The sequence below is a fragment of the Homo sapiens genome, chromosome 6 (genome assembly GCF_000001405.40).
Source record: "Homo sapiens chromosome 6, GRCh38.p14 Primary Assembly".
Classification (NCBI taxonomy): domain Eukaryota; kingdom Metazoa; phylum Chordata; class Mammalia; order Primates; family Hominidae; genus Homo; species Homo sapiens.
Genome location: NC_000006.12, coordinates 109,568,966 through 109,593,659, shown reverse-complemented (window position 1 = coordinate 109,593,659; position 24,694 = coordinate 109,568,966). Strand labels below are relative to the sequence as shown.

Here is a 24,694-nt window from a genome sequence, read left to right as displayed (position 1 = left end):
TAAGTTTTTTGATGTGCTGCTGGATTTGGTTTGCCAGTATTTTATTGAGGATTCTTGCATTGATGTTCATCAGGGATATTGGCCTGAAATTTTTTTTTGTTGTTACGTCTCTGCCAGGTTTTGGTATCAGGATGATGCTGGCCTCGTGAAATGAGTTAGGAAGGAGTCCCTCTTTTTCTGTCGTTTGGAATAGTTTCAGAAGGAATGGTACCGGCTCCTCTTTGTACCCCTGGTAGAATTCAGCTGTGAATCCATCTGGTCCTGGGCTTTTTTTGGTTGGTAGGCTATTAATTACTGCCTCAATTTCAGAACTCATTATTGTCTGTTCAGGGACTTGACTTTTCCTGGTTTAGATTTTAGAGAAACTCAATGAGATCCAAGAGAATGTTGAAAACCTACACAAAGAAATCAGAAAAACAATTTAGGATATGAAAGATGAGATAGATTTTTCTAAATTCTAGAAAGAAAAATTTATTGAAGGAATTGCAAAATACAGTTGAAATCTTTAACAATAGCCCAGCACAAGCAGAAGAAACAATCTCAGAGCTGCAAGACAGGGCTTCTGAATTAACCCAGTTAGACAAAAATAAAGAAAGAAAAGTAATAAAGTCTTCCAGAAATATGGGATTATATATAGTGTCCCAACCTACTAGTTATAGGTATTCCAGAGGAGAAGAAGAAAAAGTAAAAAGTGCAGAAAACCTATTTGAGGAAATAATTTAAGAAAACTTCCTTAATTTTGTCAGAGATCTAGACAGCCAGATATAAGAAGATCAGAAAACTATTGTAAGATATAGTGCAAGAAGTACCTCACCAAGGCATATAGTCATCAGACTATCTAACGTCAATGTGAAGGGAAAAAAATCCTAAAATCAGAAAGAGAGAAGCATCTAATCACTTATAAAAAAAAATCCCGCTGGGCACGGTGGCTCATGCCTGTAAAACCAGCACTTTTGAAGGCCGAGGCGGGCGGATCATGAGGTCAGGAGATCGAGACCATCCTGGCTAACATGGTGAAACCCCGTCTCTACTAAAAATACAAAAAATTAGCCGGGCGAGGTGGCAGGCGCCTGTAGTCCCAGCTACTCGGGAGGCTGAGGCAGGAGAATGGCGTGAACCTGGGAGGTGGAGCTTGCAGTGAGCCGAGATAGTGCCACTGCAGTCCAGCCTGGGTGAAAGAGCGAGACTCCGTCTCAAAAAAAAAAAAAAAAAAGAAATCCCATTAGACTAACAACAGACTTCTCACCAGAAACCTTATGAGCCAGAAGATATTGGAGTCCTATTTTTGGTCTTCTTTAATCCTTTTCCTATTTGCCCCTAGAATACTCACTGGTGGCAATTGCAGCTGCAGTGTTTACCCTGAGATAACTTTGCCATGAAATACCTCGCTTTTATTATTATTATTGTGTTTTGCTGTAGTATAGCAACTTTGGAAATAAAAGACATCATTCTATTTATAGAATTCTGTTTTTAGTAGTGGTATTTCCATTTACAAAATATAGTAATTTTCGATTGCTGAAAATGTCAAATCCTAGAAAATGTAGCATTCCTACACGTGATGTTAACATCAGTCTCAAACAGTTTTTGGCAAAAGATTCATTTCATGAATCCAATTTTTCTGAAATAGACAATTCTAATGATTCAGATGATTCTGATGTTAGTTCTGTTTAGAAATAACTCCAAGACCAGTTTTTATACTTTATTTTCACATTGAAAATCAGTCAGATTTGCTTCAGCCTCAGAGTTCATTTATATAAAATCAAATGAGTGCTGGCAGTGAACTGCACTTTTTTTTTTTCTAAATAGGAAAAGGGTTTTAAAAAATGCCAGGCAAGAATTTTATATCCTGCTAAACTAAGTTTTATAAATGAAGGAGAAATGAAGTATTTCCCAGGCAAGCGAACAATAAGGGAATTCATCACCACTAGACTGTACCTACAACAAATGCTCAAAGGACTTCTAAACATAAAAGCAAAAGGGTGATATTCAGCATCATAAAAACACATGAAAGTATTAAACTCTTTGCAAGTATAAGACCTCTTTGCAGGTCTTATAATGCAGTTACACAATCGAGACTGTAAAGCAAGTAGGTAATAATTAACATGACGAGGCTATCAATACTACATATAATACTAACATTAAACATAAATGGGCTAAATGCTCCACTTAAAAGATATTGGCTGATGGAATGGATTTTTTTAAAAAATCCAACCATGTGCTGCATACAAGAAACCCACCTAACTAGTAAATACATTTACAGAGTCAAAGTAAAGGGATGGAAAAAGATATTCCATACAGATGGAAACCAAAAGCAAATAGGAGTAGCTATACTTATATCAGATAAAACAGATATTAAATCAACAATAGTTAAAAAAAGACAAAGAAGGTCATTATATTATCATAAAAGGATCAATTGCAGAAGAAAAATGTCATTTCTAAATATATATGCATCGAATACCACAGCACCAAGATTCATAAAACAAATACAACTAGACCTAAGAAAAGAGAAAGACAGCAATGCAATCATAGTAGGGGACTTCAGTACTCTACTGACAGCACTAGACAGATCATTAAGGCAGAAAATCAACAAAGAAACTCTAGGCTTAAATTGGACTCTAGACCAAATGGACCTAACAGACATTTACAGAACATTCTACCATACACCTGTAGAATATTCATTCTTCTCATCTGCCCATGGAACATTCTTAAATGACCATATGCAAGGCCACAAGGCAAGTCTCAAAAAAATTTTAAAAATTGAAATAATGTAAAGTACCTTCTTGGACCAAAGTGGAATAAAACTAGAAATCAATAACAAAAGGCACCCTCAAAGCCATACAAATGCATGGAAATTAAATAATCTGCTCCTGAATGATTGTTGGATCAATGATGAAATTAAGGTGGAAATTTTTTAAAGTTTTGAAACAGATGAAAATAGACACAACATACCAAAAGCATTTGACGTACAGCAAAAACAGTGCTAAGAGGCAATTTTATAGTGTTAACAGCCTACATAAAAAAGATAGAAAGATCTCAAATTAACAATGTAACATTGTACCTCAAAGAACTAGAAAAACAAGAGCAAACCACATCAAAAGCTAGCAGAACTAAATGAAACTGAGACCAAAAACATTACAAAGAATTAATTAAAAGTTGTTCTTTGAAAAAATAAGCAAAATTGATAGCTAGATAATCAAGTGAAAAAGAGAACATTCAAATAAGCAAAATCAGAAATAATAAAGGTGTCATTACAACTGATGCAACAGAAATACGAAAGATCACTAATGACTACTATCAGCATCTCTGTGCATACAAGCTGGAAAACCTAGAGGAAATGGATAAGTTCTTAGAAATATACATCCTCCCAAGATGAACTAGAAGAAATAGAAAACCTGAACAGACCAATAAGGAGTAGTGAAATTGAATCAGTAATTAAAAATCTCTCAACAGTAACAAAAAAGCCCAGGGCCAGATGGTTTTACAGCCAAATTCTGCTAAATGTTGAAGGAAGAACTGCTACCAATTCTACTAAAACTGTTCCAAAACATCAAGGAGGAGTGAATCCTCCCTAACTCATTCCATGAAGCCAGCATCACTCTGATACCAAAGCCAGACAAGGACACAACAAAAAAGAAAGCTATAGACCATTATTCCTGATGAACATAGATGCAGATGTCCTCAAAAAAATACTAGCAAACCAGATTCAGGAACGAATACACAAAGAAAATCCAGCATAATCAAGTGGATTTTATTCCAGAGATGCAAGGTTGGTTCAGCATACACAAATCAATAAATGTGATTCACCACATAAACAGAATTAAAAACAAAAAACTATGTGATAACATCAATAGATGAAGGAAGAGCATTCAATAAAATCCAGCATCACTTCATAATAAAAACCCTTACCCAACTAGGCATAGAAGGAACATACCTCAAAATAATAAAGGCCGTATATAACAAACCCACTGCCAACATTTTACTGAATGAGGAAAAGTTAAAAGCATTCCCCCTAATAACAAGACAAGGATACCCAGTTTCACCACTGCTGTTCAACATAGTCCTAGAAATCCTAGCTATAGCAATCAGGTAAGAGAATGAAATAAAAGGCATCCAAATTGGAAAAGAGGAACTCAAATAATCTCTACTGTTGATATGTTTCTATACCTAGAAAACCCTAAAGATTCCTTCAAAAGACTGCTAGATTTGATAAATGACTTCAGTAAAGTTTCAGGATACAAAATCAACATACAAAAATTGCCATTTCTGTACACCAATAACAATCAAGCTGAGAACAAAATCAAGAACTCAATCCCATTTATAATGGCTATGAAAATAATAAAATACCCAGGAATACATTTAACCAAGGAGGTGAAAGATCTCTACAAGGAGAACTACAAAATACTGATGAAAGAAACCATATATAACACAAATAAATGGAAAACATACCATGTTCATGGATCAGAAGAATAAATATTGTTGAAATGAGTATAATACTGAAAGCAATCTACAGATTTAAGGCAATTCCTATAAAATTACCAATGTCATTCTTCACAGAATTAGAAAAAATAATAGTGAAATTTGTACAGAACAATAAAAAGAGCCCAAATAGCCAAAGTAAACTTAAGCAAAAAGAATAAAGCTGGAGAAACCACATTGCTAGACTTCAAATTATACTACAAGGCTATAGTAACCAAAACAGCATGGTACTGGTATTTTAAAAAGACACTTAGATTGATAGAAAAGAATAGAGAACCAAGAACTAAAGCCACATACCTACAACTAAGTGATCTTTGGCAAAGTCAACTAGAATATACACTGTGGAAAGGACACCCATTCAATAAATGGTACTGGGAAAACTGGAGAGCCATATGCAGAAGAATGAAACTGGACCCCTATCTCTCACCAGATACAAAATTAACATGGGTTAAAAACTTAAATGTAAGACCTCAGACTATAAAAATCCTGAAAGAGAACCTAGGAAAAACTCTTCTGGACATTAGGCAAAGAATTTATAACTAAGTTGTCAAAAGGAAATGCAGCAAAAACAAAAATAGACAAATAGGACGTAATTAAATGAAAAGTTTCTGAAGAAATAATCAACAGAGTAAACAGAGAATCTATGTAATGGAAGAAAACATTTGCAAACAATGCATCTGACAAAGGGCTAATATCCAGAATCTACAAGAAACTCAAACAACTCAAGAAGAGAAAAACAAATAACCCCATTAAAAAGTGGGCCAAGGACATGAACAGACATTTCTGAAAAGAAGACATACAAGAAGGCAGCAAACAGCCGGGCGCGGTGGCTCACGCCTGTAATCCCAGCACTTTGGGAGGCCGAGACGGGCGGATCACGAGGTCAGGAGATCGAGACCATCCTGGCTAACACGGTGAAACCCCGTCTCTACTAAAAATACAAAAATTAGCCAGGCATGGTGGCGCATGCCTGTAGTCCCAGCTACACGGGAGGCTGAGGCAGGAGAATGGCGTGAACCCGGGAGGCGGAGCTTGCAGTGAGTCGAGATCGCGCCACTGCACTCCAGCCTGGGCGACAGAGCGAAACTCCGTCTCAAAAAAAAAAAGAAGGCAGCAAACATATGAAAAAAAGTCCTCAACATCACCAATCATCAGAGAAATGTACATTAAAACCACAATGAAATAGCATCTTACTCCAGTCAGAATAGCTATTATTACAAAGTCAAAAAACAGATGTTGACAAGGATGCAAAGAAAAGGAAATTATTTATACACTGTTAATGGGAATGTAAATTGGTACACCTTTATGAAAATGGTGTAGAGATTTCTCAAAGAACTAAAAATAAGACTACCATTGAACCGCAATCCCATTATTGAGTATCTGCTCAAAGGAAAAGAAGCCTTTTTATCAAAAAGACACCTGCACTAGTATGCTTATTGCAGCGCTATTAACAATAACAATGCCGCGGAATCAACCTAAGTGTTCATTAGTGAAGAATGAAATCATGTCTTTTGCAGTAACATGGATGGAACTGGAGGCCATTATCTTAAGTGAAACAACTCAGACACAGAAAGACAAATACCGCATGTTCTCACAATTGGGAGCTAAACAATGTGTACACATGGAAGCAGAATATGGAATGATGGACAATAGAGTATCAGAGGGGTGGGGAAGTGGTGAATGATGGGAGCTTGCTTGGCTGATACAGTGTGCCTTGCTCTGGTGATGGATGCACTGAAAGCCCTGACTTCACCACAGTGCAATATATCAATGCAGCAAAATTGCACTTGTAACCCATGAATATACACAACAAATAAATAAAGTTGAATGAGGTGGAGAAATTATAAGTTATATCTCAATGTTGTTTTGTTTCAAACAACAATTGAAACATTGTAAAATTGTTTGAAAATTTGTTTCAAAAATACAATTTCAAATTTGAATGGTTAAATTTGTGTTAACCATTTATAGGTCTTCTTCATAGCTTTCTTTTTCCCTAATTCTCTTATGTTAAACATTTCAAAGTGCTTAAAATTATTTTTTAAAAGACTGCTTATTCAGATAATAATTCAAAAAGCAAGATGGACATAGTGGTGCAAGCCTATAGTCCCAGCTACTCAGGAGGCTAAAGGGGGAGGATTGCCTCAGCCCAAGAGTTCTAAACCAGCCTCGACAACATAGCAAGACCTCGTCTAAAAAAAAATCAAAAAGCAGATAATTTTAAATTCTGCATAGGCCTGTCAAGAGGGTAATATTGGCCCTCTTGACATCTCTTCCCCTTTGACTTGTAATATTTTGTGATTACCTAATGGTACACAAACTTGTTTGAAGCTCTCAGAATTGGTGTTTTCATAGATACACATTACTAATTTCCAAATATGTGTTGAAACTATTGCTATTGGAGAGAAGCAGGAAGACAAGAATTTAGCAGAATTCTCTAAGCACCTGCAAAGTTTGTTTTGTTGTTTTGACTCCATGCTTCCTACTGCCATCAGTAGGAACCATCTCAGTACCTTTTAGCTCTCACACTGAGAAATGAAAGCAGAAGAGAAGTGAAGGGTGTTGTCACTGAAAAGGCAAGCTGGACCAGGAGCTTTCTACTTAGAGTGGTCCAGGCATCATTATCACCTGGAAGCATGTTAGAAATGTAGACTCTAGGGCCATTCCCCAGACCTTCTGAATCATGATCTGTCCTCTGAGTAATGTATAGCAAAAATGTATTATTATATTTATTTCACAAAGTCTGTTCTTCCCTTTGTTAACTTTGGTTGTCGTTGTCTCATTAGAGACAGGGTCTGACACTGGTGCAGTGGCACAATTATAGCTTACTGCAACCTCAAACACCTGGGCTCAAGCAATCCTCCTGCCTCAGCCTCCTGTGTAGCTGATACTACAGGCATGCACCACTTCGCCCAGCCTCCATTCTTAACTTTTTAAACTTACGATTTTATTGCTTTAAAATTAAGTTTAGCTTTAAAAATTGTCACCCTTTTTTTTCCTTTTGAAAGAAGAACTCAAAAGATACTTGTTTAAGATCCACAAAAATTACATATCAAGGTTGCATCCTTGACTTGTCAAGCTATGATAGTAATATCAGTGTACAATTTTTCACAGGTAATGGAAGAAAACAAGGATAGGTTTCCTGGTGCCCCAAAATATGGAGGCTGGATTGTGGACAACTGCCCTATTGTAAAAGAATTGTGGATGGCCTTAATCAAGAAAGGAATTATACCTGATTTGGTCATCTATTTATCAGATACAGAAAACAATGGTTGGTAAATATTTATTATGTAAATTTGAAAGTGAAGTTTTGTTATTGATATTTTTGGTTAAATATAGAACGGACAACTCTCCACTCTTCCTAGATAGAAATACCCACCCCAGCAATCCCTGCAGGAACTAGAGGTACACAAAATGAGGCTTCCATATACTGAGAAGGTGGCCAGGAATAAGTGCCGGATGGTTGAATGTTCTAGCTGGCCGTTGTAATTTTTCTTTAAAGCTTACAGTTTAGCACGCACACACACACAATTAGAAGCTATAACTTCTAAATGAATAACATATAAGGCTGAGGGCAAAGACTAAATGTTAGTTCTTCTTCACCTCAAGTAGGAAAAATGAGGTACATAAATTTAGCAGAGCTAAATTTTAATTATTCTGTTTGCCTCTTAAAGTAAGATATTCAAAATGGGAATTGCCAGGGGAAAAATATAATATACTACCTCTTTTCATGTTTTACTTATTTCTACTGTATTCATACATACCTTTTTAAAAGAATTTAAGATGGTCTATTAATATTTTAAAGAATCTGGGCTCTATTTAGATACATGCTTAAAGGAAAATGTATTTAGATATAAGCAGAAATAATGTTTGTGTTAATCTTCAAAATACATCTCACTGTATTTTATAAGCTACAAAAGTAATATTAGTCTCCTTATCTGTATTTCAGGAAAATGTTTATTTAATAGAATATATTTACAGAAGAAATCTGAAATTGACTCTAAGATTTTAGAAAGATTATTAGAAGAACTACAAAAGAAAAAAAAAGAAGAAGAAGAAGCAAGGTAAAATCTGCCTAGAATGATAAAACAGATTAATGTATCTGTTATAGCAGTTAAATATCTTCTTGCAATTATACTTATAGAATATATTTAATATTGAAATGATAATTTATTATCTTGATCTGATTCTAGTTAATTTTAAGAAAAGCAGCGATTTCACAAATACTTCCAGAATCTCTAAAGCACACAGTTGTGATTTTTTCCCAGCCCATATCAAACTTATTCTAAATCAAGCATCTGCTCTTAAAAGACACTATTTAAAAAATGAGCATGGGTAAGATATATATATTGTTATATTTATCTGTGACTTAATTTTGTTAACTAGCATTTACAAATTGAAGAAACAACATCATAGGAAGCAGATGAAAATATATAGTACTTGTGCGACATGACTAAAATCCAAAGCCTGACTAAGTTCTACACATGGAAAGACCAGGCTAATTATTTATGTTTGACAGGTTTAACATTGAGGGCTTATTCTCTAATCTGGGTATAATGAATGACTTTTTAAAATGTGACCACACAGTTATCTGTTCATGGCAGGGGTCAATACTAAACTTTAATAAACTATAAGTCCTTCAGATTGAAGAATAAAATATTAAAAGAAACAATGACTTAGTTTGCTAATTGTTCTTCCTTACTAAAAAATTCTCTTTAAATACTTTACGTTTTAATTTGTCCACTGGGATTTCTACTATTCAAAGTAATAAAGGCCTAGACATTTAAGAATTAAATTTTTCTGTGTAAATCCATGGAACTTCCTACTATTGATGATGGCACCTATGGCTTTCTTAAATGCTGTTTCCTTTTCCCTTTCAAATATTAGCTATTTGAGCTGAGACTTAGGAGAGCTCTTTAAACCCTAGAAATGAAGAAGCTGGGAGGTGGATAATTACAGAGGTAGAGAGCAGTTTAACTGATATGTGTGCCAGAGGATTTTATTTTTTAGTGTTCATTATTCATTTAAGCTAGTCACTCCTTTAGAAATTTAACACACAAATATGTAAGATTTAGTTAAATTAGTTAATAAAATTATTATGTGATATATTGACCAAACAGTACTTTAATTCAGACAATAATTACAAACTTACTTATATTCCCTTTTAGCTTTGAAAACTTTTGTTACAAATCTACTAATTAGCTCCAATCAGCTATACTCAATCTACAGATCAGCTATAATCTGTTGATAATTAAGGAATTACTTAATCTTTTTCCAGTGTGTGAGAACTAGTCCAATCTTTGAGAACAGATGGAGATCTCAACATAAGAGTAAAACAAAGTTGATGTGATTTGTAGACTGGAGATCTGCTACATCTTAAATATATTAAAAATATGTATACCTTTAACTTTTTTTAAAAAGGAAAAGATATCTTCTCCACTTTCTGTCAATTCTACCTTCACCTCTTTAACCATATGGAATTCTCTAAGTTATTTTTATAATCAATCTTTACTTCTTTTGATTCTAAATTTTTACATCTTTATAAACTCCTTAATATCACCTGCCCAGATTGAAGCAGGCTTTTCTATGTTTTTATATGTTGATTTTTAAAATTCAACATGAGTTTTTCAAAACAAACTTTTTTCCTTTATACTTCAGAAATAAAATTTAAGATGGTTTTTAAAAAACTGTCAGACACTCACTTAAAGGCCTTATAGGTTGGTTAGAAAAGAGAGAAACTTAACAGGATTAAGAACTGCATCTTGATCAAATATCTAAAGACATGCTAAATTTTAAAACTTTTCCAGCATCAGTTTCCAAATATGCTAGTCAAATGGCAAGATAATTTCTGTCATATTGTTAGTCATTGGATCATCTATCCAAGTGGGTTACAGAAATTTCTAAGAACTGGCAGCAAAATTCTTCCTTGTTCTGTTCAGGTCTTAGATTCTCAGCAGCAACATACTTGATCCAGGATTTGGATAAGGAAGATGTCACAAAGAGCCCCATCTGAGGTACAGGCATAGCTTGGAAATATTGCAGGTTTGGTTCCAGGCCACCACAGTAAAGCAAGTCACATGAGTTTTTTTGCTTCCCAGTGCATATAAAAGTTATGTTTACACAATATTGTCATCTATTAAGTGTGCAATAGCATTATGTCTAAAAATGTATATACCTTAATTTTAAAATGCTTTAAAATAACATGGTGATGATCATCTGAGCCTTTAGTGAGTCAATCATTTTCCTGGTGGAAGGTTTTGCCTCAGTGTTGTTGGCTGCTGACCGATAAGGGTAGTGGTTGCCAAAGGTTGGGGTGGCTATGGAAATTTCTTAAACTAGGACAATGATGAAGTTTGTTGTATCTGTTTATTACTCTTTCTTTCCCAAAATATTTTTCTGTAGTATGTAATGTTGTTTGATAGCATTTTACCCACAGTAGAACTTCTTTCAAAATTGGAGTCAATCCTCTCAAACCCACCACTACTTTATCAACCAAGTTTATGTGGTATTCTAAATTTTTTGTTGTAATTTCAACAGTATTCACAGCATCTTCACCAAGAATAGATTCCATCTCAAGAAACCAATTTCTTTTCTCATCCATGAGAAGAACTCTTCATCTGTTCAAGTTTGATCATGAGATTGCAGCAATTTAGGCTTCACTTCTAATTCTAATTATCTTGCTATTTTCACTACATCTGCAGTTACTTCCTTCATTACAGTCCTGAACTTATTAAAGTAATCCATGAGGGTTGGAATCACCTTCTTCCAAATTCCTGTTAATGTGGATATTTTGACCTCCTCCCACAAATCATGAATGTTCTTAATGGCTTCTGCAATGGTAAATCCTTTCCAGAAGGTTTTCAATTTACTTTGCTCAGATCTATTAGAGGAATCACTATCTATGACAGCTGTAGTCTTATGAAATGTGTTTCTTAATAATTAGACTTAAAAGTCAAAATTACTCTTTGATCCATGGGCTGCGTTATGGATGTTGCATTAGCAGGCATGAAAACATTCATTCTCCTTATGTGTCTTCATCAGAGCTCTTGGGTGACTATCTGCATTGTCAATGGGCAGTAATATTTTGAAATTAATCTTTTTTTCTAAGCAGTAGATCTCAACAGCAGTTAAAATACTCAGTAAAGCATGCTGTAAACAGATGTACTGGCATCTAGGCTTTGTTCTATTTGTAGAGCACAGGCAGAGTAGATTTAGCATAGTTAATTAGGGGGCCTAGGATTTTTGGACTGGGAAATGGGCATTAGCTTCACCAGCTGCACAAGCCCTTAATAAGAGTGTCAGCCTGTCCCTTAAAGCTTTGAAGCCAGGCATTGACTTCTCCTCTCTAACTCTGAAAGTCCTAGATGGCATCTTCTTCCAATAGAAGCCTGTTTTGTTGACATTGAAAAATCTGTTGTTTAGTGTAGCCACCTTTGTCTATGGTCTTAGCTAGGTCTTCTAAATAACTTATTGCAGCTCCTACATCAGCACTTGCCTGCTTCACCTTGCACTGCATTTTGATGTTACAGAGATGGCTTCTTTCCTTAAGCCTCATGAACCAACTTCTGCTAGCTTCAAACTTTTCTTCTCCAGGTTCCTTGCCTCCCTCAGCCATCACAGAATTGAAGCGAATTAGGGCCTTGCTCCTGATTAGACTTTGGCTTAAGGGAATGTTGTGGCTGGTTTGATCTTCTAATCAGACCACTCAAAAACTTTCTCCATATCAATAGTAAGGCTGTTTTACTTTTGTATCATTAGTGTATTCACTGGAGTAGCACATTTAATTTCCTTGAAGAACATTTCTTTGGCATTCACAACTTGGCTAACTATTTTGCACCAGAGGCATAGCTTTTGGACTATCTCAGCCTTCAATATACCTTCCTCACTAAGCTTAGCCATTTCTAGCTTTTGATTTAAAGTGACAAATGTGGGGCTCTTTTTTTCACTTAAAAAGCTGGAGGCCATTGTAGGGTTATTAATTGGCCTCATTTCAATAGTATTGTGTCTTAGAGAATAGGGAGGCCTGAGGAGAGGGAGGGAGTCAAGGGATCAGCCAGTCAGTGGAGCAGTCACAACACCCACAGCATCTATCAATTAAGTTCACCGTCTTATATAGATGTGGTTCATGGTGCCCCAAACAATGATAATAGTAACATCAAAGGCCATTGATCACAGATCACTGACACATAATAATAATGAGGAAGTTTGAAATAGAGTTGCTTATTGCAGGGTTGCCACAAACCCTCAACTTGTAAAACAAAACAAAAAAACACAAAAAAAAACCACGATATCTGTAAAGCGCAATGAAGCAAAGCACAATAAGGCAAGGTATGCCTGCAGAATAACTGCCTGTTCACACACAGACAAAATGGGAAAGGAGTTCAGAAACAACACTCAGTAGCCTCAGAGGGCTGAGTCACGAGCAAAGAGAACTTGAATTACGCCAAGACTTCCGGCAGGAACACAGGATTTGGAATGCAGTGAGAGAATGTCCTCCATTAACAGGAAGCCGACCTGCTGGGAGAAGAGGTGTAGTAATGTCTTATGTGTAACTAGCTTTCAAAAGAAGGGAAAATGGATGCAAAGAACGCGGAGTATGAGAAAATAACAGGTCTGAGGAAAGCTGTGCCCCCAGTGTATGCTGCTGACATGAATGGGCTCTTCCTTAACCGATGAATACCTGATATAATTTTTTGTTAAAATTTTTTAAAGATTCAGTCAACATTCTTTTGTGTGTTTCTTTGTGCAGTAGTATTCCTGTTTCTGAGGGCTAAATTCCTAGATATAGATTTCTAGATCAAACATTTTAATTTTTAATAAATGTTGCCTTTCTCCAGCATTTTACTAACTTTCCGTCCACCTTTCTTTACCATCGTTAAGGCCGGTTTGGTGCTTCAATCCTAATGAAAAACAGATTCCCCCCAGGTTTTTAAGTCTCCATATTCCAGGTCTCTTTAAATTTCATCACTACTATGTTAAAAATAAAATAATTAGGGTTTTTTTCTTATTAGAAAGATAAATTTACAAATGTTCTGCTTATTCAATATAGAAAAAATTTTAATGCAAAAAGTTAAAGAAAACTTAAAACACTTATATGCCATCATCCATGTTGACCATTTGATTGGTTTTCTCCTAGACTTTTAATCCTCATTTATATGCATTCTAAATACCAAATTAAAATTATATTATACATACAGTTTTATATTTGACTTTTCTTACTTGACATTATATTGTGAACATTTACCATTAAATCAGAGGAAAAATGCTACAAATCCTTCCATTTGCCTTTTCAACATACAGTTAGGTAATCCTTTCTTATTTTTGACATGTTTCCTAATTAATAGACAAAGTTTTTCAAAGTATAACATTCCAGTTTTTCTCCCCCAGAAGAAAATGCTGAAAAGTAACTAGTCTCAACATGAGTAATTTAAAAATATACATTGTAAAGTAAGTATAATAAGATTTAATCTTTATTTTTAACACTATAAGCATTTAATCCTGTAATAGTGTGAGAAGTCTGAATTTCCAAAGATAATTAAATTTGAACCTTTTCATTTCAGAAAAGCCACAGAAGAGGAATTGAGACTCGAAGAAGAAAATCGAAGGCTACTGGAACTTATGAAAGTGAAGGCAAAAGGCAAGCACAGATTGCTATGACTGATGATGTGTCATGGTATTGTTACTGCAAGCAATTGCAGTATTTCAAGTGAATTATAGACTGGGTGATCACATTTCCCAATTTGTCCATGAGAGCCCAGGTTTATGCCTATATTCTTGAAGTCTTTATAGTACCTTTTATTCTTAAAGTGTTCCAGTTTGTATACTAAATAATATTGTTACTGAAGTAATGGATTCATAGGAAAATGACTCTTGACAGAGATACCTACTCATACACCCTCTGCAAGTGATACACAGCAGAATAGCACACACGGCTTGTCTTTAAATCATTGCTCTTGACACAGGTGACACACAGCTGTTGGAATTACTTCGTTAGAACCATCCTACAGGAGTTGAGAAGACAGCAAATCTCTTATTACCCACTTACTCTCTTTATGATTAAACTCCCATCTTCATTATATAACTCACTGTAACAGTTTAAGATTGGAGTTTTTCAGTGGACTTAAACTACACCCTAGAGCAAATAGATTTTACAGATAATTACAGAACATTCTACCCAACAACTGCAGAATATACATTCTATTCATCAGCACATGGAATATCCTCCAAGATAGATCACATAATAGGCCACAAAACAGGTCTCAGCGAATTTAAGAAAATCAAAATTATACCGAGTACTCTCTCAGACCACAGTGGAATAAAATTGGAAATAAATTCCAAACTATACGAATACATGGAAATTAGACAACCTGCTCCTGAATGTTCTTTAGGCCAACAATTAAATCAAGAAGGAAATTTAAAAATTATTTGAACTGAACAATAACAGTGACACAACTTATCAAAACTTCTGGGATACAGCAAAAGTGGTCCAAAGAGGTAAGTTCATAGTATTAAATGCTTACATCAAAAAGCCTGAAAGAACACAAATAGACAATCTAAGGTCACACCTCAAGGAACTAGAGAAGCAAGAACAACCCAAACCCAAACCCGAACCCAAGATCCCCAAAACAGAAGAAAAGAAATAATGAAGATCAGAGCAGAACTAAATAAAATTGAAACAAAAAAATAAATAAATAAAAGATAAATGAAACAAAAAGCTGGTTCTTTGAAAAGATAAGCAAAATTGATAGATCATTAGTGAGATTAACCAAAAAAAGAAGAGAGAAGATTCAAATAAGCTCAATTAGAAATGTAACAGGAGGCCAGGTGTGGTGGCTTATGCCTGTAATCCCAGCACTTTGGGAGGCTGAGGAGGGCGGATCACTTGAGGTCAGGAGTTCGAGACCAGCCTGGCCAACATGGCGAAACCCCAGCTCTACTAAAAATACAAAAATTAGCTGGGCATGGTGGCTCATGCCTGTAATCCCGCACTTTGGGAGGCTGAGGTGGGTGGATCACCTGAGGTCAGGAGTTCAAGACCAGCCTGGCTAACATGGTAAAACCCTGTTTCTACTAAAAATTTTTAAAAAATTAGCCAGGCGTGGTGGTGCACGCCTGTAATCCCAGCTACTTGGGAGGCTGAGGCAGGAGAATCACTTGAACCTGGGAGGCAGAGGTTGCAGTGAGCTGAGATCGTGTCACTGCACTCCAGTCTGGGCAACAGGCTATCTAAAAAGAAAAAAAAAAAGAGAAAGAAAGGAAGAAAAGAAAGAAAGAAAGAAAGAGAGAAAGAGAGAGAGAAGGAAAGAAGGAAAGAAAAAGAAAGAAAGAAAAAGAGAGAGGAAGGAAGGAAGGAAGGAGATATTACAGCCAATACCACAGAAACACAAAAGATCATTCAAGGCTACTATGAACACCTTTATGCACACAAACTAGAAAATCTAGAGGAGATGGATAAATTCCTGGAAGTAAACAACCCTTCTAGATTAAATCAGGAAGAAATAGAAGCCCCTAACAGACCAATAACAAGTAGCAAGATTGAAAACAGTAATTTAAAATTTTCCAACAAGAAAAGGTCCAGGACCAGATGGATTCACAGCTGATTTCTATCAGGTATTCAAAGAATTGGTACCAATCTTACTGAAACTATTCCAAAAGATAGAGAGAGAGGGAATCCTCCCTAAATCATTCTATGATGCCAGTATCACTCTAATACCAAAACCAAGAAAGGACATTAAAAAAAAAAGGAACCAGACCAATATCCCTGTTGAACATAGATGCAAAAATCATCAACAAAATACTAACTAAATTCAATAGCATGTCAAAAAGATAATACACCATGATCAAATGGGTTTCATACCAGGGATGGAAGGATGGTTTAACATACACAAGTCAATAAATGTGATACACTATGTAAACAGAGGTAAAAACAAAAATCTTATGATCATCTCAATAGATGCAGAAAAAGCATTTGACAAAATCCAGCACCCCTTTATGATTAAAACCCTCAGAAAAATGGGCATAAAAGGAACACACCTCAAGGTAATAAAAGCCATCTATGGCCGGGCACAGTGGCTCACACCTGTAATCCCAGCACTTTGGGAGGCCGAGGTGGGCCGATCACAAGGTTGGGAGATTGAGACCATCCTGGCTAACACGGTGAAACCCCGTCTCTACTAAAAATACAAAAAATTAGCCGGGCGTGGTGGCGGGTGCCTGTAGTCCCAGCTACTCAGAAAGCTGAGGCAGGAAAATCGCTTGAACCCAGGAGGTGGAGGTTGCAATGAGCTGAGATCATGCCACTGCACTCCAGCCTAGGTGACAGAGTGAGAGTCTGTCTCAAAAAAAAAAAAAAAGAAATCTATGACAAACCCACAGCCAACATTATACTGAAAGGGGAAAAGCTAAAAGCATTCCCACTGAGAACTAGAACAAGACAAGGATGCCCACTTTCACCACTGCTATTCAACATTGTACTGGAAGTCCTAGCTGGAGGAATCAGACAAAAGAAAGAAATAAAGAGCATTTAAATCAGTAAAGAGGAAGTCAAACTGTTGCTGTTCATTGATGATATGATCATATACCTAGAAAATTCTAAATACTCACCTGAAAAAGCTCCTAGATCTGATAAATGAATTCAGTAAAGTTTTGGGATACAAAATCAATGTACACAAATTAGTAGCACTGCTATGTAACAACAATGACCAAGCTGAGAATGAAATCAAGAACTCAACCCCTTTTACAACAGCTGCAAAAAAAAAAAAAAAAAGTATATATATGTATATACACCTAACCAAGGAGGTGAAAGATCTCTACAAGGAAAACTACAAAACACTGCTGAAAGAAATCATGAATGACACAAACAAATGAAAACACATCCCATGCTCATGGATGGGTAGAATCCATGAGCATGTGAAAATAACCATACTGCCAAAAGCAATCTACAAATCCAATGCAATTCCCATCAAAATACCATCATTATTCTTCACAGAACTAGAAAAAAAATCCTAAAATTCAAATGGAACACAAAAAGATCCCACATAGCCAAGGAAGACTAAGCAAAAAGAACAAATCTATAGGCATCACATTACCCAACTTCAAACTATACTTCAAGGATATAGTTACCAAAACAGCATGGTACTGCTATAAAAATTGGCACATAGACCAATGGAACAGAATAGAGAACCCAGAAATACAGTCAAATATTTACAGCCAACTGATCTTCGACAAAGAAAAAAACAAACAAACAAAACATAAAATGGAGAAAGGACACCCTATTCAACAAATGGTGCTGGGATAATTGGCAAGCCACAATGAAGAATGAAGCTGGATCTTTGTCTCTCACCTTATTCAGAAATCAACTGAAGATGGATCAAGGACTTAAATCTAAGACCTGAAACCATAAAAATTCTAGAAGATAACATCAAAAAACTATTATAGACATTGGCTTAGGCAAAGAGTTCATGCCCAAGAACCCAAAAACAAAAAGACAAATAGATGTGACTTAATTAAACTAAAAATCTTCTGCACAGCAAAAGAAATAATCAGCAGAGTAAACAGACAACCCACAGAGTGGGAGAAAATCTTCACAAACTACGCATCTGACAAAGGACTAATATCCAGAATCTAAAAGGAACTCAAATCAGCAAGAAAAAAAAATAATAATCCCATCAGAAAGTGGGTTAAGAACATGAATAGACAGTTCTCAAAAGAAGATATACAAATGGCCAGCGAATATATGAAAAAATGCTCAACATCACTAATTATCAGGGAAATGCAAATCAAAACCATAGTGACATACCACCTTACTCCTGTAAGAATGGCCATAATTAAAAAATCAAAAAATAATAGATGTTGGCATGGATGTGATGAAAGGGAAACAGTTTTACACTGCTTGTGGGAATGTAAACCAGTACAACACTATGGAAAACACTATGGCAATTCCTTAAAGAACTAAAAATAAAACTGCCATTTGATCCAGCAATTCCACTACTGGGTATCTACCCATAGGAAAAGAAATCATTGTTTGAAAAAGACACTTGCACACACACGTTTATAGCAGCACAAGCCTAAATGCCATCAACCGAGTGGATAAAGAACATGTGATATATATATATTCCATGGAATACTACTGAGCCATAAAAAGGAATGAAATAATGGTTTTTGCAGCAACCTGGATGGAGTTGGAGACCATTATTCTAAGTGAGGTAACTCAGGAATAGAAAACCAAACATTGTATGTTCTCACTTATAAGTGAGAGCTAAACTATGAGGGCACAAAGGCATAAGAATGATATAATAGACTTCGGGAATTTGCAGGGAAGGTGGGAGGGAGATGAGGAATAAAAGACTACACATTGGGTACAGTGTATAGTGCTTGGATGATAGGTGTACCAAAACCTCAGAAATCACCACCAAAGAACTTTTCCATGGAACAAAACACCACCTGTTCCTCAAAAACTTTTGGAATAAAAAAATTTTAAAAAGATAAGACAGATGTTAAAAAAAAGACTGGAGTTCTTAACCTAGGGTCTATGGGTAAAATTCAGGGGTGTGTGAACTTAATTGGAAAATAATTCCGAATTTATTTTCACTAACATTTAACTGAAATTTATTATTTCCTTCAATGTGCAATTAATATAGGCAACAAACCACAATAATATTAGCAATACTTTGACTTTGTCACCAAAAGAAATGAAGATGTTTTCATATCACATTATAGTTTTACATATCTTTATATGTTTATCACTGTTCCAAAATTGTGGTAGTTATTAAACCGGCTACTAGTTCTGGGTTGTTTGTTTGTTTGTTTGTTTTGAGCCAGAGTCTCATTCCATGACCCAGGCTGGAGTGCAGTGACACAATCTCAGCTCACTGCAACCTCCACCTCCTGGGTTCAAGCGATTCTCCTGCTAAGCCTCCTGAGTAGCTGGGGCTACAGGTGTGTGCCACCACACCCAGCTAATTTTTGTATTTTGTATTTACATTTAATATATTGATTAATATACTACATGATTTATTATTTTTAGTTAGCTGTAAGAAAATCAATCATTATATATATAATCTAACCTGGTGCTACCCATTAGAAACATAATATAAGCCACACATGGAACTTTAAATTTTCTAAAAGTCACATATTTTATATTTAGTTTTTCATATTAAATCTTTAAAATTCACTGTATGTTTTATACTTACAGTATATATCAATTTGGACTAGCCTCATTTCAAGTACTCAATAGCCACATGTAGCTAGTGGCTACTATATTGAATGGTGCTGATGTAGCCATTTCTTTGGACATTGGGCTATTTCTAGATTTACTGTAAGGATGTTTGGAACTGCCACAAACATTTCATTTTTGAATGAACCCCTAGTCTGGTACTCATACAGAACTCTGAGCAGATGACTATCATCCTTTACCACTACATGTGAATAGCTATAATAAATAGATAATTTTTCTATCTCCCCCATTAAACTACATACTCTAGGAGGGCAGGGACCATTTCATATTCTTTGTTTGGCTTCAGCACTTATCAACACCCAATAAATATTTGTTGACTTCAACCAAATGATAATTTATTTCTTCAAATTTTTTTAGAAGCTGAAGAGACTGATAATGAGGATGAAGAGGAGATTGAAGGTGATGAGTTGGAAGTTCACGAAGAGCCTGAGGCATCTCACGATACCCGAGGGTCATGGTTACCTGAGGAGTTTGAAGCATCTGAGGTCCCTGAAACTGAGCCTGAAGCAGGTTAGACTTTATTGATAGCAAGTTCTTAATTCTACTCATGTGCATTAATGTGTCTGTTTGGGTATGTGTATGTATACCTGTTGGTAAAATGGAAGCTGGCTGAGAATGGAGAGATGAGCCCCCAGAGAGCAGCCATTGAGTCCAAATCCCACAGTTTGAAGTGTGGTAGGAAAGCAGAGGCTGCTCTGCCCCAGCACTGGCACACAGGAGCACAGCTGGCTATGTAATTTGTGGGGCATGTTGTTCAAAAAGCAGGAAAAAAGTGTCATTAAAGGTAGTAAAATATAACGGTTTTTCCTTTCTTCCATAGTCTGTCTCTCAATTTGTCATGCTATTTTTTTGTTTGCTATTTAATGTTGCTCTAAGTAAAGAAAAATTAAATTAAAATTTTAAATTATTAGCATGAATTTTACAGTTCATCTTTATGGTGTGCAATGCCATTTTTAAATGCAAATATAAGAGCATTTTAAATGTTAATATGAGAGCATTAACTCTTTAAGCCCTACCTCAGAGGTCTCATTTGGTGGATGGGGCAAGGCAAGAAGGAGTCTATAGGCAATGAAAACCACTCCAAGGACTAGAGAGTGGGCTTAAAGCAGGAACATAGGGTACCCACCTGTGGTGGGAATGAGGCTTGCAAATGCTTTCAAGCAGAGTTAGTATTGAATCTGAAATTCATCCTACAAACTAAAAGGTCTTCAGATACCTGTAACTGGATGCTAGTCTGGAGCAGTTAAGGGCCTGGAACTGCTGTGAGCTTATAAAAGAAGCAAGACTAAGGGAAATTAATGAAAATTACACAATTCATATTTCACAGCTCATATGTGCATGTGTTTCATTCTGACAAGTATATTAAGTATTATGCATATCTAAGAGCCCCAGGCTGGTTTGTTCACTTAAAAAGATATTGAAGCCCCAAGCATCTTCTTTCCTCCTGTACTTCTCTCCAGTATCTGACTCCATCCTCACGATCCATAGGTGGCTGCTGCATCCAGACACAATGTCTCCTCTTGCAAGCTTTTACTTTTTATTTCTAATTCAAGAAATAGATAGTTCACAGAGACTTTCACCTACATTTCATTGAGCAGAATATTGTATCGTCATCTACCCCTACTTGCAGGGAATCTGGGAATTTAATTTGGACTTGGCTTCCTTGCCTAGATGGTAGAAGCCAATGGAATAGAAGACGAGAGGGGGGTTGAGGGAGCCAACCAACAGTATCTACCATACTGCCTTTCCACAGATGCAGGTTGCAGGAATGCCTAGGCGCACATTCATTATTTCACCCAAGAAATAAGTAATCATCTGCTCAAATTCTTAAATGCTTAACTGAGACTTTAGAGTTTCACATAAAAGAGAAATATTGTTTCATAGTATAGGTGGTAGATCAGCTGTATCAGAATCACCTATGGTTCTTATTTTAAGGTAAGCCTCTGAGCTCTATGCAGGCTCTGGTTCAGTAAGTCTAGGATGGAATTTAGGAATCTACATTTTAATGAACACCCCAGTGATTCTTATACATACTAACAGTTGAGAACTACTGCTATAGGAAAAACATTCTGCCTGAAAAATAAGTTTTGTCAATTATTCCTTATATCATGGAAAAAGCACAGTAGCATACCTGAGAAAAATCTGATCCTGAAAATAAAAACTCTAGAATCATTTGGCTGTACACTGTATCTGCAGGTCAAAATTAATGAATATATTGAATAGAAATTTGAAAAATGTCTATTAAAGACAGTGATCGTAGTTTTGATACAGTTGATGTTGAACGGTGTGTTTCAAAATCATACATCCATCCAGGTTTGATAAAAATATGTGCTAACTATAGAAAATACAGAAATTATACAAATAGAAAGATGGGGGAAATCATCATTGATCTGACAACAAAAGGCAATGATACTTAACATTCTAATGTATTTCCTTTTAGCTTTTTTAAGAATGGTGTTTTGTTTTGTTTTTATCTAACTGTGATCCAATTAGACTTCGGCTTGAGAGAAAGGTTTCCTCTCGGACATTTTTAAAGTCCTACAAGAGAGTTATTTTCAATAAACAATAACTATATGGAAATTATTTGTTTATAAACTTCCTTCAGATAGCATTTTGGAAAGAGGCATAACTTCTCCACATTGTTGAATGCTCATGAGTGTGGCCAGTTTTGTCCAGTCCACTAGAACAGGCTGTGGATTTCTGTAGCTATGTGGTATTAGGATAATGATAATTCCATTTGGATTTCTCCCAAATTCCACATGACCCTATTCTTGAGATTTTAATTTTGATTCATCTCTTAGTCATCTGGTCTACATCTTTGAGCAACTTTTTAAGGATCCAGCGTGGCATATTTTGTAATTTTTCTGCAAATCTATTGCTTTCACATATATAAAACAACTTAGAGGCTATTAAATCATTGTCATAACCTTTTCTTCTCAGAATTCCTCATGTTGACATTGCTTCATTGTCTTCTACACATGGAAAAGTCAAGATATTCCCTCATTTCTGTTCTTTTCGTTCTTTTCCTACAGGGGTGCTCAAAGGATCCTTTTCAATGCCATTATTTGTTAAAACTTTGCTGGTATGTGAATGATTTACCCGGGAATTCATTGAGCTCTTCTTGTCTTCATATCACAATCTTTGTCTAGCTCAAAATGCCTTTCTTCAGTTATTGCTTCAGATTCCTTTTTCAGGATCATTTATTATTTTTGGTCAGATAACTATTGTTTCTCAACCACGTTAATCTTCTTTTTCCTGATAGTTCTCATCTCTTTGTACTTTTTCTCTGGATTCTTCAGAGACTTGTTATCCTCCATGTCACTGGTTTACCTTCTCCACCTTATTGCCTCTCTCCTAATGCATTAAAAAATTTTTTTATTTCAGTAGTTTTAGGGGTACAAGTGGGTTTTGGTTACATGGATGAATCACATATAGTGGTGAAGTCTGGGGTTTTAGCATACCTATCACTCAAATAGTGCATGTTGTATTCTATAGGTGGTTTTTCTTTTTTTTATTATTATTATACTTTAAGTTCTATAGAGGGTACATGTGCACAACATGCAGGTTTGTTACATGTGTATACATGTGCCATGTTGGTGTGCTGCACCCGTTAACTCGTCATTACATTAGGTATACCTCCTAATGCTATCCCTCCCCCCTTCCCCCACCCCACGACAGGCTCCAGTGTGTGATGCTCCCAACCATGTGTCCAAGTGTTCTCATTGTTCAATTTCCACCTATGAGTGAAAACATGCAGTGTTTGGTTTTCTATCCTTGTGATAGTTTGCTGAGAATGATGGTTTCCAGCTTCATCCATGTCCCTACAAAGCACATGAGCTCATCCTTTTTAATGGCTGCATAGTATTCCATGGTGTATATGTGCAACATTTTCTTAATTCAGTCTATCATTGATGGACATTTGGGTTGGTTCCAAGTCTTTGCTATTGTGAATAGTGCAACAATAAACATACGTGTGCATGTGTCTTTATAGCAGCATGATTTGTAATCCTTTGGGTATGTGCCCAGTAATGGGATGGCTGGGTCAAATGGTATTTCTAGTTCTAGATCCTTGAGGAATCGCCCCATTGTCTTCCACAATGGTTGAACTAGTTTACAGTCCCACCAACAGTGTAAAAGCATTCCTATTTCTCCACATCCTCTCCAGCACCTGTTGTTTCCTGACTTTTTAATGATTGCCATTCTAACTGGTGTGAGATGGTATCTCATCGTGGTTTTGATTTGCATTTCTCTGACGGCCAGTAATAATGAGCATTTTTTCATGGGTCTGTTGGCTGCAGAAATGTCTTCTTTTGAGAAGTGTCTGTTCATATCCTTTGCCCACTTTTTGATGGGGTTGTTCGATTTTTTCTTGTAAATTTGTTTAAGTTCTTTGTGGATTCTGGATACTAGCCCTTTGTCAGATGGGTAGATTGCAAAAATTTTCTCCCATTCTGTAGGTTGCCTGTTCACTCTGATGGTAGTTTCTTTTGCTGGGCAGAACCTCCTTAGTTTAATTAGATCCATTTGTCAAGTTTGGCTTTTGTTGCCATTGCTTTTGGTATTTTAGTCATGAAGTCCTTGCCCATGTCTATGTCCTGAATGGTATTGCCTAGGTTTGTTTCTAGGGTTTTTATGGTTTTAGGTCTAACATTTAAGTCTTTAATCCATCTTGAATTAATTTTTGTATAAGATGTAAGGAAGGGATCCAGTTTTAGCTTTCTACATATGGCTAGCCAGTTTTCCCAGCACCATTTATTAAATAGGGAATCCTTTCCCCATTTCTTGTTTTTGTCAGGTTTGTCAAAGATCAGATGGTTGTAGATGTGTGGTATTATTTCCAGGGGCTCTATTCTGTTCCACTGGTCTATATCTCTGTTTTGGTACCAGTACCATACTGTTTTGGTTACTGTAGCCTTGTAGCATAGTTTGAAGTCAGGTAGGATGATGCCTCCCACTTTGTTCTTTTGGCTTAGGATTGTCTTGGCA

At 36.0% G+C, this 24,694-nt stretch overlaps 1 protein-coding gene across 20 annotated transcripts in view; it reads left to right on the top strand.

The window, feature by feature from the left end:
• The window catches only part of AK9 (adenylate kinase 9), a 198,348-nt gene that overhangs the window by 97,543 nt on the left and 76,111 nt on the right, over nt 1-24,694 (top strand). For 19 of the 20 annotated variants that reach the window (XR_942337.3, XM_047418304.1, NM_001145128.3 and 16 more), the window contains 4 exons: nt 7,588-7,744; nt 8,423-8,537; nt 14,034-14,110; nt 20,066-20,218. Coding sequence is in view for 19 of the 20 variants with exons in the window: in XM_047418304.1 (XP_047274260.1) it covers nt 7,588-7,744; nt 8,423-8,537; nt 14,034-14,110; nt 20,066-20,218 (502 nt within the window). In the remaining variant the exon portion in view is untranslated. Of the gene's footprint in view, nt 1-7,587; nt 7,745-8,422; nt 8,538-10,410; nt 10,488-14,033; nt 14,111-20,065; nt 20,219-24,694 lie in introns of those variants that run through there. The other variant, XM_011535558.1, reaches the window with a different exon arrangement.